This window comes from Homo sapiens, chromosome 5 (assembly GCF_000001405.40).
Source record: "Homo sapiens chromosome 5, GRCh38.p14 Primary Assembly".
Taxonomy (NCBI): Eukaryota; Metazoa; Chordata; class Mammalia; order Primates; family Hominidae; genus Homo; species Homo sapiens.
In genome coordinates this window covers 93,582,601-93,594,739 of record NC_000005.10, presented here as the reverse complement: position 1 = coordinate 93,594,739, position 12,139 = coordinate 93,582,601, and the positions used below count along the sequence as shown (strand labels likewise).

The 12,139-nt window shown below is 50.0% G+C and overlaps 1 protein-coding gene and 1 long non-coding RNA gene across 13 annotated transcripts in view, besides 1 other annotated feature; one reads left to right on the top strand and one right to left on the bottom strand.

Moving 5' to 3' along the window:
• Window positions 129–11,518, bottom strand: NR2F1 (nuclear receptor subfamily 2 group F member 1). Of its 2 annotated transcripts, none has more exons than NM_005654.6 (3): window positions 9,254–11,518; window positions 6,296–6,823; window positions 129–1,178 (listed from the first exon to the last, which is right to left on the bottom strand). In NM_005654.6, exons 1-3 carry the CDS (start codon window positions 9,714–9,716, stop codon window positions 898–900), a joined length of 1,272 nt encoding a protein of 423 aa, NP_005645.1. In that variant the 5' UTR covers window positions 9,717–11,518; the 3' UTR covers window positions 129–897. The 2 variants fall into 2 exon arrangements, with proteins under 2 accessions (NP_005645.1, NP_001397683.1); NM_001410754.1 differs by lacking the exon at window positions 9,254–11,518 and adding an exon at window positions 7,497–7,641.
• Window positions 9,151–12,139, top strand: part of NR2F1-AS1 (NR2F1 regulatory antisense RNA 1) — a 176,234-nt gene continuing 173,245 nt past the window's right edge. For 4 of the 11 annotated variants that reach the window (NR_186217.1, NR_186215.1, NR_186220.1 and 1 more), the window contains exon 1: window positions 9,151–9,356. This is a non-coding gene — a long non-coding RNA (NR2F1 regulatory antisense RNA 1). Of the gene's footprint in view, window positions 9,412–10,295; window positions 10,963–12,139 lie in introns of those variants that run through there. The other 7 variants (NR_186218.1, NR_186221.1, NR_186216.1 and 4 more) reach the window with 3 other exon arrangements.
• Window positions 10,389–10,468: a silencer, noted in NCBI's record as "silent region_16177". NCBI's record gives its function as "represses an Ori minimal core promoter by ATAC-STARR-seq in GM12878 lymphoblastoid cells {active_cell/tissue: GM12878}" and the evidence as "EXISTENCE:reporter gene assay evidence [ECO:0000049][PMID:35858748]".

The following is a 12,139-nucleotide window of genomic DNA, read 5'->3' as shown; positions in this document are numbered from 1 at the left end:
TTGTAGTAGACTTTAAAAGTCTCCCCTTTTACACACCAAAACCTTCAATTCTAATAATAGTTGAGGTGGAAATTAACCAAGGAGTTCTCTTCCACGGATAACATCTATCAAGCAACCAGACACATGGGTTTTGCTAAATTCTTTTATTTTTGTTTAAATTTTCACTTCAATTTTAATTCTTGAAGAACAGCCTCGACAACATATATCGCACTCATTATAAGAAGCAAAGGGTTATATCAAAAATTATTAGTATAGAATCACAGGAAATCTGGTTTGGAACCAGAAAAAAATACAAAACAGATATAGATACATAGACACAGGACAATTTTTTATAATTATTTGGAAAATGTTATTTTCCCCTAATTCTTGTTTCCTTTTTCTTTATGCGCATACGATGTTTAAATTTTACAAAAAATGAAAATAAAGACTAGTATTTTACAAAATGAATAACAATGTTCAGTGTGTGTGTGTTTCTACATAGGCTTCAGTCCACTTCCATATGTGTTGTTCCTGTACAGAATATATCCACATCCGTCCACAATAAATCCTGGAAGGTCCATTAGTTTCCTTCTGTTTTATTAAAATTCTCATGGTCCTCTCTTCCAATTTGTTTTTCTTTTTTTCACCAGACAGACACAAGGTTCTTTTTTTTGTTTGTTTTGTTTTTCCTCGCCAACGTGCTCACAGATCTGATCCTAAAAGAGTCTCTTTTTCCCATGCTTTGTAGCTCGGATTGTATTTCTGCTGGGTGGGCTGCTCCTGTCTCGGCCCTCCTCCCTCCCACCCAGCCTGCCTGGCCCGCTGCACTTCCCGGTGTCCCCGCGGCTTTGGAGTCCTTGGCCCAGGTGGGTCCTCTGAGTCTCTAGGGGGACGGGGCAGGTGGGAAGCGCCCAAGGTCTAGGAGCACTGGATGGACATGTAAGGCCAGTTGAAGCTGCTCCCAGACAGTAACATATCGCGGATGAGAGTTTCGATGGGGGTTTTACCTACCAAACGGACGAAGAAGAGCTGCTCGATGACGGAGGAGGACACGGTGCGCAGCGAGGGCAGTCGCAGCAGCAGTTTGCCAAAACGGCTGGGCTGGTTGGGGTACTGGCTCCTCACGTACTCCTCCAGTGCGCACTGCGACTTCTCCTGCAGGCTCTCGATGTGGGCCGCATCCGACAGGCCACAGGCGTCTGCCCAAGCAGCCACAGGAGGGAGAGACAGGGAAAGGGAGCACACGGTTAGGCTGACAAATAGCAAAGGCAAAATAAGCCATCAATTTTTTTTAAGGAGAAAATGGAAAATAAAAAAGAAGTAAAAGAGAAAAGAAAAATTCACCCTCCTATACCTCTCCATCCCCTTCTTCATTCCCTCCTCCCCCGCCCCCAATACAATACAAATAAAAATAAATCAAACCCCCACCAAGCCTAGGGGAGCTGGAGAGAGAGGCACACACATGCAGAGGCAGAAACCTCTCTAGTCCCTTTGTTTTTCCTCTTTCACCTTTGGATTAAATAATGTACAATGCTGGAACCATGTTTGCTGCGCTTAACAACCTGTCCTCGGCCTGCAAGGGAGCATCTTTCTGGCCGTGCTCATTAACTTTTGCCCCATTTGCCTCTGATCTGGGGGTGTTCAGTACCCCTTAGGAAATATGCAGCCTGAAGGCAGTTCTTAAAGGATTCCTGGAGTCCCCTCTCAAACCCAAACCACCCCAACCAGAAACCTCCAGGAGAACCTAGATTGTGTAGTGAACAAACACATGGGAGGGGGTAAGGAATCATGGGCTGGCAGTGCCTGGAATCAGATGAAGCCCACGCTTTAGCAATATAGGATTTCAGATCCGTTATCTATGCAAGAAAGGACTCTGCAGCAAATCCTTGGTGAGGGTGTACACTTCTATCTATACCTTAGATCAAGTAATTGAAAATTGGTCACATCTCTGTAAGCTGTATAATAATCAGGAAGAATATGACTCAGTTACTCCAGGCTGCAGAAAGGCGACATCTTCAGCAATCAGACACAAAGCTAGGCTACAGGCAGCAGCTGCTGCTGCTTCAGAACTGGGGGGGTAGGGGGGGATGTGGGTGGTGGGGAGTTGAGGGGGGACTTGGGGGGAGATAAGCTTTTGGTGGCAGGACCAAGGGAGAAAAAGGCACCTCCGCACAATGACAGCACCTCAAAATCTGTGTGCTTAGTTCATGTCAACCAAGGCCCTTCTTGGTCCTCTAAAAGTATTTCAGGACAGCAGATTATATTATATCAACTAACTAGAGGCAAGCATAGGGAGGGAAAGATGGAATAAGAGGAATGGAGTAAAGGCATCCTCTCCTAGTTCAAATACCCACTTGTTTCTTATATTAATAATAAATATTAAAAAAAAACCAGTAAGATCACAGAGGAGCCCTTAGCCAGTCAGGAGGTTGACTAGAGATCAAAGGCAGAATTTGCTAATATATAGATCTGGGAAAAAATTGATGCATGGCAATGCCCCCAAAATGACATTGTATAATTTTGAATGGGCAAGTGTGACCCTAAGAAGACACAACAAATGATTCAAAGTGAAACCTGTGTCTGCTGAGTTTCTGAGCTTTATGACCTTATATTTCAAGAACTGGGATTTACAAAGCATTCTAACACCTTCATCTACAAGGCTATGGCCTCGAGCAAAAATACAAATAAAACTAGTGATAATTCAAGAACTTCTGAGGCAAGTCCCCTTTGACCTCAGATACAGACTAGGTTCCTCTCAGATGTCTAATTACTCCAGCCAGCCAGTTGGGTATATCCACACTGGTCTGATATGGGAAGCCAAATGAGACTTTATGGCTATTAGGGCCAGGGCAGCAAGAGCTCTGTGGGGCTTTGCTGCTTAGAGAGGGGACCGTGAGTTTGGCCCTGCTTGCTAACCTGGCCCTGATGAATGACCCTCACTCAGACCCAGACCCATAATTACATAGAGCTTGCTTTACATGCATTATCTGCCTGCATGCTTATGGATCATTCTCAGCCCTAGACAATGCAATGTGAAAAGGGCCCCTTGGTATCCCGGCAGATTTTTTTTTTTTAAGATCCATCTGGCATCCCCTCAGCTCAGTAAAATATCTATCTGACATTTATGATTAGGGTCCCTGGAGTACAAGGTCACTTCCCAACTCCCAAACAGGCCGCTCCAAGAGAGACAAGAAGCCCAGGAAAGGCCTGCCTGGGTCCTGTGCTGGTTGCTTCCATTTCTTCCCTCCTTTGGAGGTGAATGCCTGTAGCTGGGCCTGCCTGCCAGGTACCAGCCAGCTAGCTCTGTGGCTTCCCTCCGGCAGGAGCCCTGGTTCTGGCCTGGCTTCCCAGTCTGGAAATTCATTCACCCCTTTGCAACAGGATTCCCTCAACTGTGGACAGAAGGTATGAGCTCCCAGATCAACTAGGGGGTTGTGGTGACAAAGCTAGGTGACCAGGGGGTGTAATACAGTATATATTTATGCTCCATGAGTTATACCCCAGATAAGAAAATGAGGCAGAATGTGCAAAATCCATGTCACACTTTTTATACGGTAGTGTCAATGTGGGAACTCTCAATATTTCTTCTACAGTGTATGGAAAAGAAATTATGTAAATAAATAACCATTACTGCTCAGGCCCTCCTGGCCTAGCCTTTGTAGTGCAGAGAATGTATTTCATGTTGTGCATTCAGAAGAGTTTAGTGTTCAGGAAATATAGATGTAATCAGCTGCCATAACTAGAAATCAAAGTTATTATTGTGCTGAAAATGGATTTATTGTATTTATGTTAACTAGATGGCTCCTTTCAGAGAAAGTCTCATTTATTTGAAGGAATATTTAGGTGTATGAACTAATGAATTTTTTAAAAAGTAAGTTCAGGTCATGACCTAGTCCTTGGATGCAGTCCAGAATATTAAGGATTAAACATACCATCCGGAGGCCAAATGTGAAAACCACCACGGGGGACCCCCGTGCCAGCTTCAAATACTTAGCCAAAGCAAACCACATTGGACAATATGTCTAAAACTGTCTTTTCCATCATTCAAAGTTTGCTTAAAAGTTGGATGACTTTGAGAAGGCTTCCCATGAATTCCCTTCTGGCTAGCAATCAAAACAAGTTTAGTCAAAAGTGGAAATGTGTTGCATGGGAGGGGGGAGGTGAATTACTACTGACAGCTCTATTTCCATTTTCAGATATTCTGCTTGCAATTTTCCAACAAAATAATGTTATTGTTCATTTCTAGGCACTCTTTGCACCTTGAAGACTTGATTCAAGAAACTTCCTTGGAAAACTTTTTAAATGAACACTTTTCACAGGAATGTTTTAGTATGGAAAGTTAAAAGGAAAGCATGAATAATTCCACAGTGTTTCCCTGCAGCCTGCACAGTCCTCACCTCTCTCTGGGAAAGGGCATGAGATTAGCAAAGTCAAGGGGGTTCAAAGAACCTTAGGGGGTGTAAGGAAAAGAGAGGAGAGACCTTTCCTGAGAAAACGTCTGTCCAGTTCCAAGTCACATTTCTGCTTCAAGACACCTCGCTGGATGAGATTTTCAAACCCCAGCTTCCCTGACACTGGCTTGCTTCCTGATGAATTTGGCTAAAGAGCCTGGTAGTAGAGAGCCAGCCAGGCCCCAGGCCTGCCAGAGCTGAGGCAGCCTGGTTGCTGCTTCCCAGGCTCTTTGTCACTTTTGAAAAACACGTTTCCATCAAGAAGACTTATTAAGATAAAATGCATTCAAATACGGAGGAGGCTATTCCATAAATCTTCCATTTGTTTTAAGGTTTGCACTTTATCCTCTTGGAAAGAATAACTCCCTCTCTCACTAGCAGACCTGCATTTGCACTGAAAGTAAAAGGGGGGCAGTCCAAGTCCATTGCTCTGGCCACCCTGCATACAAATGAGATGCTCTTGTCTAAATAAATTATCTGCTGTTCAGATCGATATTAATACTACATTTGCTACATTACAATATTGTGCAAATTTAGGAGTCATTTTAATACAATGTAAATACAATTCTTCACACATGAAAGCCAAGAAATATTGATAGATTATACCATTGCTTACTGTTCAACAAGGCCTTATGAAAGGGATTTTGCTATCCCTGTTCAAGAATGGTTTTAATTTGGCCATTGGAAAGCCTGGTTCTAGGATAGATTTATTAGGATGGTTTATTTGTTCTCCGAATGGAGGAATTAAAAACAATACTGCCAATAATGGTGGTAAAACTGCAGCTAACCCTACTCACAGTGGGCAGGGCCCAAGACCCAGTCTAAGCAGCACTACTTGCCACCAGCCTCCTCTCTGGCTTTGTCTCTATTTCTCCCCATTACCTGCTGTCCTGGGTGTTTATATGTTTCCCTCTTACAGGTTACAATAATAAAAAGCGGGGATTGTTCTCGGAGGCTCAGACCAGAGCCCTTCAAAGGAAACGTTAATGCACTTTTCTGGAAGTTAATTTGAACCATCTATCATAAGAGAAATTGTTAACATGCATGTTACCACTGCCTACACATAATTTGATATTTTTTAAGGCACTCTTAAATTTCCAGTGTTCATGTGTTTTGCATAGCTTTGGAATTCATCTTCAGGCGGGGAATCCTCCCATACTTGCGGGTTCTACAGCATTGCTTTTGTTTTTTATCTTTCTTGTTTAGATCGAATCCGTTTTTTACGACCCTCAATAACCTCACCAACTGCAAACATGAATGGTTTCCGATAAGGGAAAATCAGGCAGCGATAAAGCGGGATTATTATGATTTATTTGTGCGTATTCTTCTCTTTCCACCTCTCTCTGTGTCTCTCTGTGTCGGGAAATTCATTCAAGGAGAGTGCCACACAGGGTAAGAAGCCACATTCCCACGTTCTCTTCCTTCCCTCGCCTCCCCCAGAAACGCTGAGCTCTGGCTCACACATAACACGCACCACACACAGACACACACACAGAGACACACACACACACACACACGCGCGCGCGCGCGCGCAGCCAGACGGATCCACAGCACCGCCCCCCCGCCTCAGACACACACCCTCGGCAGCCGCGGCCCCACGTAGGGGTCCGGGCGACTAGGCCCGGCCGCCCGCCGGCCGCACCCGCGCCGCCTCGGTTCCCGCACCGCCGCGCTCCCAAGATGGCAGCGGCGCGGCCAGCCGGTCACCGCGCGGGGGTCACAGACCCGGGCCAGGCTCAGTGTCCAGCGAGGGCCCGGCCCGCCCCGCACCGGCCGCGCGGGAGGCTCCGAAGGCCAGGCCCGGGCGGCGCGGGGCCTGCGCTCGCTGCCGGCGCGGCCTGCCCTCCCCGCGACCGCAGCCTCACCTGACGTGAACAGCACGATGGCTTTGAGGCAGCTGTACTCGGCTGAGTCGACGTGTAGCGCCTTGAGCTTCTCCACCTGCTCCTGGAAGATGCGGATGTGGTCCATGAAGGCCACGACGCGGTCGGCAGACATGGGCGAGGCATGCAGGCCGGCGGCGGCCAGCAACGGCGCCACGTGCAGCGGCATAGAGCACTGGGCCGCGTTGAGCACGAACAGCTCGCTCCAGGTGAGGCGTAGCAGGGACACCTGGTCGGTGATCTGCAGATCCGGGAAGAAGGGGATGTTGCGGGCCCACTCGACGGCGCTGAAGAGCAGGCGCGCGGCCAGCTCGCAGATGTTCTCGATGCCCATAATGTTGTTGGGCTGCATGCACTGGCTGCCGTAGCGCGACGTGGGGTAGGGCTCGGCGCGCAGCAGCAGCGAGATGTAGCCGGACAGGTAGCAGTGGCCGTTGAGGGGGTCCCCGTTGGTGAGTGCGTACTGGCCTGGATTGGGCTGGGTTGGAGGCATTCTTCCTCGCTGAACCGCTGACAAAAAGAAAGAGAGAAAAGAGGCAATGTGCATCCAGGGAGCTTGCGAACATTGCCGCGCCGCAGCGTACCCAACACAATGCAGAAGCTCTTCCCGCAGCCACACGCGCCCCGCGCATCTTCTCCGGCTCGCTCTCACAGTCCACACCGCTAGGAGATCTGGGGTGAGGCCCTCCAGCTCCACAGCTCAGTGTGTCCAGCCACTGCCTGAGCCCCTGGCCACGTCAGCCCCGCCGGAGCTAGGCCTGACTCCAGGGCCCCAACCCTGGCAAGGTCAAGAAAGTGTCATCCAACCCCTAAGCCACCACGGGGGAACACACAGATAAATGAAACCCCACTCACCCCTCCAGAATGGAAAAAAAAAATCAGGGTTAAAAAAAGGCGAAACCGGAGAAAGGTTGTGGTTCTAGGCAAATGCCTAGCGGCCTCCTCATTTGCAAGCAAGCAGCGTTTTGCTGATAAAATGTTTCCACATTCTCTTAAAATGCTATAGAATAATTCTTAAAATAGACACAAGTTACATATCCTACTAACCACTTACAACTTTTGAGTAGAGAACAAGTATCCTGCACCCCTCCCTTCTCCCCTCCTCCCCGTCGCCCCATACAAAGTTCTCACTATTAAAAGCAACAGAAAATTGAAAATTTTCAAGAAAAAAAGTTGAACTTACAGTAGCCAAACATTATTGAAAAAAGTAGGAAATATAATTAATGTCTGTCCTGCGCGGTGCCACTGCAACCTGCAGCCAGCTTTTGCCCAGTGAATGCACGAGCTTTCAACTGCAAAAACACTGGATTCATTAACCATCTGAATGCAAAACGTAAGCATGCTTTGAGTTCTTAAAGCTGACCAAAGTTTTTTTTTTTTTTTTTTTAAATGTGTATGTTTTACTTCAACAGTGCCAGCGTTTTAAATTGCCATATAAACAAAGACAACTTTAGGAAAAGTTAGGGCTACTGAACTCTTCCCCCAACAAATTAATATAGATATGTTCATGTACATGTAGCTATCTTATTTCAGGTTTTGTTCTATTTTCTTAAGTTTGCTTTGATTCTAATTTTAATGCAAGTTCCAGTGCAATTGAAGCTCTTGAAACATAATGCCTAGAATACTTTTTTCTAATTATAGTTTTGAACTTGGCAGTTATTTTTCAATTAAGTGAGAGTACAATTCAAAGTTTTTTTTTTTTCAGATGCCTACAAAATCTCCCTGGAGCTAGAAATGAAGTAGTCATATTTGTCTGCTCCTTGAGATCTGAAGGAATTCAATTTCTTTTCTTGTGGCATATAAAATATAATTTTAAAGTCAATTACAAGAAGGAGTAATCTGCATTCTGCAAAATTGACTGGTTCGCTAATTTGACTATAAGACATCTTTAATGATTGTCAAGAGATAAACTTTAACTGTAAACGGCTAAATATATTTATAAGAAAAGTACTGCATCTCTTGCCACATGAACATGAAGCATATCCAAATACAACATCAAAAGTTGTGTTTTTTTTTAAAAAAAACAAACCCATACAACACAGGGATTAAATGATGTGGAAGCTCATGCTAGCTGCAGTCTATGCATTACGGCCAAATCAGAAGGATCGGTAAATGCCGTTGTAAATTGTAATTTGTATGCAGTATTTAAGCAGAGGGTGGAGTTTGATGAAGAAATAAAACGAGTATCATGCTTTAAAAAAAATGACACAACTATGAAAGCACGGTTCAGTCACAAACTTTCCTTTCAAAGTAGAGGGGTGAAAACAAGGCCACAGCTCTGGAGGAGGCGGCCCCAGCTCCGTGAAGAAGAGAGGGAACCAGTGAACGGGCCAGAAGCCCCCCTTCCCCCCTAATTAGACCTACAAGTGCAATAAATCTCACTCCTCTTTTTCCGAGCTAAGCTTCCAAAAGGATGATGGCAGCAATGAATCTATGGTTCAGGGTACTCCAGCCCCCAGCCCTCCCCCATTTTAAATAAAGGGTATGAAGAGGTGGAGGGAAAAGTGGAATGAAAAAAAACCACAGAAACAGAGTTTTCTGGGGGAAATAAGCACCCCTCCCCAAGTTCATGCCAGCACAGCCCCAAGCAGCCTCACGCACACGCGGGAAAGAGACACACACCGAGCACATCCAAGACAGAGGGAAGAAGGGGATTTTAAGCCACAGCTCACGATCTCAGGGACACAATCCTGAGCAGGCAGCGGGCGGGGTGGGGGAGCCGGGGAGATGAGCGCAGGCCGGGAGGGGGAGGCAGCGGCAGCGAGCTGGGGAGGGCGGGGGGAGACGCCGGGGGAGGAAGGCAGCCGGGAGAAGGAAAGCTGGGACGGGCCGGGACCACAGGAGCCCCAGCCCCACACAGCAACCACCCGGGCGAGAAAGAAAGAAAGAGCCAGGGAGGCGGGCGAAGCGCGGGGAGAGAAGCAGAGAAGAAATATTCACCTTCCCGCCTCATGCCCACTTTGAGGCACTTCTTGAGGCGGCAGTATTGGCACTGGTTGCGGTGGTGCTGGTCGATGGGACAGTTCCTGTTGGCACGGCATGTGTAAGTTAAGTTCCTGCGGACGCTCCTCTTGAAGAAACTTTTGCAGCCCTCGCAGGTGAATTGGCCGTAGTGCTTGCCGCTCGACTTGTCCCCGCACACCACGCACTCGATGTGCTGCTGGCTCTGGCCCGAACCGGGCGGGCCCTGGCCCTTGTCCCCCGCCGTGCCGGGGGTGGCGGGCGCTCCGGGCTGGCCCGGGGTCTGCGGCGTGTGCGGCGCGCCCGAGCCCGCCTGCTGCTGCTGCTCGCCGGCGCCGCCGCCGCCGCCGCGGGCCGCCTGCGCTGCGGGGTTGGGGCCGCCGGGGTTGCCCCCGGCCACGTCGTCCTGCGGATCTCGCCAGCTGCTAACTACCATTGCCATATCTTTGGGCCCGGGGAGCGCTGGGGGGAGCCGAGCTGCTCGCCGAGGGCCGCGGGGCGCGCGGGCGCGCTGGGAGGGGAAGGGGAAGGGGAAGGGGGGAGGGGGAGGGGGCGGGGGGCCCGCCGGGCGCCCCGGGGTCGCAGGAGCCGAGCCCGAGCCGGACACCGGCCGCTGCCTCCGCCGCCGCCGCCGCTGCCGCCGCTACTGCCTCGGCCGCCCCGCTGCTGCTGCGCGCCCGCCCGCCCTGCTGGCGTTTTGTTGTGGTTCCTGCTGTTTTCTTTCTCTCTTTTTGCAGCCCCCCCAGGCTCTCAGGCTCCCCCCCCAACACCCCTGCTCCCCTCGCCCGCTCCCCCCGCGCTCCGTTCCTGGGGGGGCCGCGCTCTCCTTCCCCCCTCCCCACCCCCCGGCGAGCAAGCTCCCTTCTCTCGCTTTTTTCTTCTTCCCCAAGTTGCAAAATCAGAAATGGCACAGGCGGCAGCCGGGAGCGGCGCGGGGCGCAGCGCCGGGGGCGGCGGGCATGGGCCACGGCGCGCGCACACACTCGCCCTCCGCCTCGCCCGCACCCCCGCGCACACACACACTCGCACACACAGTCGCTCACCCGCGCCGGGCGCCCGCCCGCCGGCCGCTCGGGCTACGCGCAGCGCGCGGGCTGAGCCGACATAGAGGAAGCCGGCGAGGGCGGAGGCGGCGGCGGCGGCGGAGGAGGAGGAGGTCGCGGCTGCAGGCGCCGCTGGAGCTGCCGCCGGAGCTGCTGCGGCGAGCGCCGCTGGAGGAGCCGGGACCCGGGCCGGAGTCCGAGCAGGAGTCGGGGCCGCAGCCGGAGCGCGAGCGGAGGCCGGGGCCGCCCGCGGCGCCGCCGCTGTCCCGGCGGGAGCCCTCGCCGGGCTCGGGAGTGCGGGGAGCGCGGTGAGCCGAGCAGGGCGCTGGGCGAGGCTGCCGCCGGCGATCAGGGCGCGCGGGTGTCGGGGGGCCAGGTCCAGGGCCGGACGCAGCCAGCCATTCAGGAAGGCAGCGCTGGAGAGCGGGAGGCAGCCGGCGAGGAAGATCACACACTTTGCTCTTTTTGTTGTGCCGGTGGCGCCGGGCTCTCGCTGCCTTCTTCTTTCGGGAGGTGACGGAAGGGGGAGAAAAATACGGGATAATTCACGCCGGCGACGAAATCACAGCGAAATAGAAAAAATAAAAATCAGAAGAAAATAATTGCCAAAAAAAGGAAAAAGGAAAAGCGAGAGAGACATCCAAAGTAGGTCGAATAAATAATCCTCTTCTTTTCCTCTTTCTTGCTCCTTCTTCTGCTTCTTCTGCTATAACACACAGAGCTAGTTAAAAAAACCCTGGAGATCGCCCAAAAATGTTCTTTTTTTAGTATTTTAAATAAGTGCTCTTCAGCCGGCAACCAACACCCTCCCTCCAAAAAAAATCATATATGTATAAAATAACGATAAGAAGAATACGAAGGGGGTGCCTCCTCCTCCTCCTCCTCCTTTTTTTTTTCTTTAAGTTTAGCCCTCTCTCTTCTGCAGGAATGGAGTAAAAGAGACAAGGAGGAGGGAGAAAAAGGAGAGAAAGGAGAAGAAGAAGGGGAAAACAACTAGTAGAATATGTAAGAAAAGAGAAAGAGAAGAGAGGTTCAGAGAAGAGAGGAGAGAGAGAGGAGAGGAGGGAGAGAGGGGGGAGAAAGAGGAGAGAGAGAGAGGAGAGAGAGAGAGAGAGAGAAGAGAAGAAGAGAGAGAGAGAGAGAGAGAGAGACCCAAAAATTGAATGCGTTTAAACGGGAGGACTCGCAGAGCAATGTTTCCGAAAGGGGGATCTGCGCGAATGTCTGTATATAGTGAACTTTGACACTACTATTGAAACTGACACGTTTCTATGGAGATCGCTGCCTTATATGGAGCTCGTGTCAAGGAGCCAAGAGAAGGGCTGCTGGCAACTGATAATCAAAGGCGACTGACTGGTCAGAGCCCTGAATCGGGGGGAGAGAAAATGGGAGGCTAAGGTTAGCCAAGCCTCCTGCACGCCATTGGTTGGAGAGCCCCTCCCCCCTCCTCTTTTGCTTTCTTTCTCCCCCCCCCGCTTAGCTACCTACAGACTGGGATGGTGTGGGGAGGAGGAGAGAAAGTGAGGGAGGGGGGTGTGTTTCTGACAAGCGCAATTTACATTGAGATCGCCCTGCGCTGCTATTTACTCTGAGACCTGATTAGTATGGGTCGTCTATGGTCACACACACACACACATACACACACACACACTTACGCTCACACCCCAGAGGGGGAAGGGATGACGAGGGGGAGAACGCCTAGCGATGGGCAAAAGGAGAATTAGAGGGAAATTATTTTGATTTCTTCTGAAAAGTTTTTAAAATTAGATTTTATGAGCGTGAAGAGAGTGTCATTGAAAATGTTTGGAAAAATTTTTAATGG

Bases quoted from the DNA above. Each gene is read 5' to 3' on its own strand.
- NR2F1 (NM_005654.6), bottom strand. From the start codon at position 9,716: ATGGCAATGGTAGTTAGCAGCTGGCGAGATCCGCAGGACGACGTGGCC. The intron at 6,824-9,253 runs GTGAATATTTCT...TCTTTTTGTCAG, and splicing joins AGTGGGCATGAGGCGGGAAG to CGGTTCAGCGAGGAAGAATG. The intron at 1,179-6,295 runs GTGAGGCTGCGG...CTGCTTGGGCAG, and splicing joins CATCGTGCTGTTCACGTCAG to ACGCCTGTGGCCTGTCGGAT.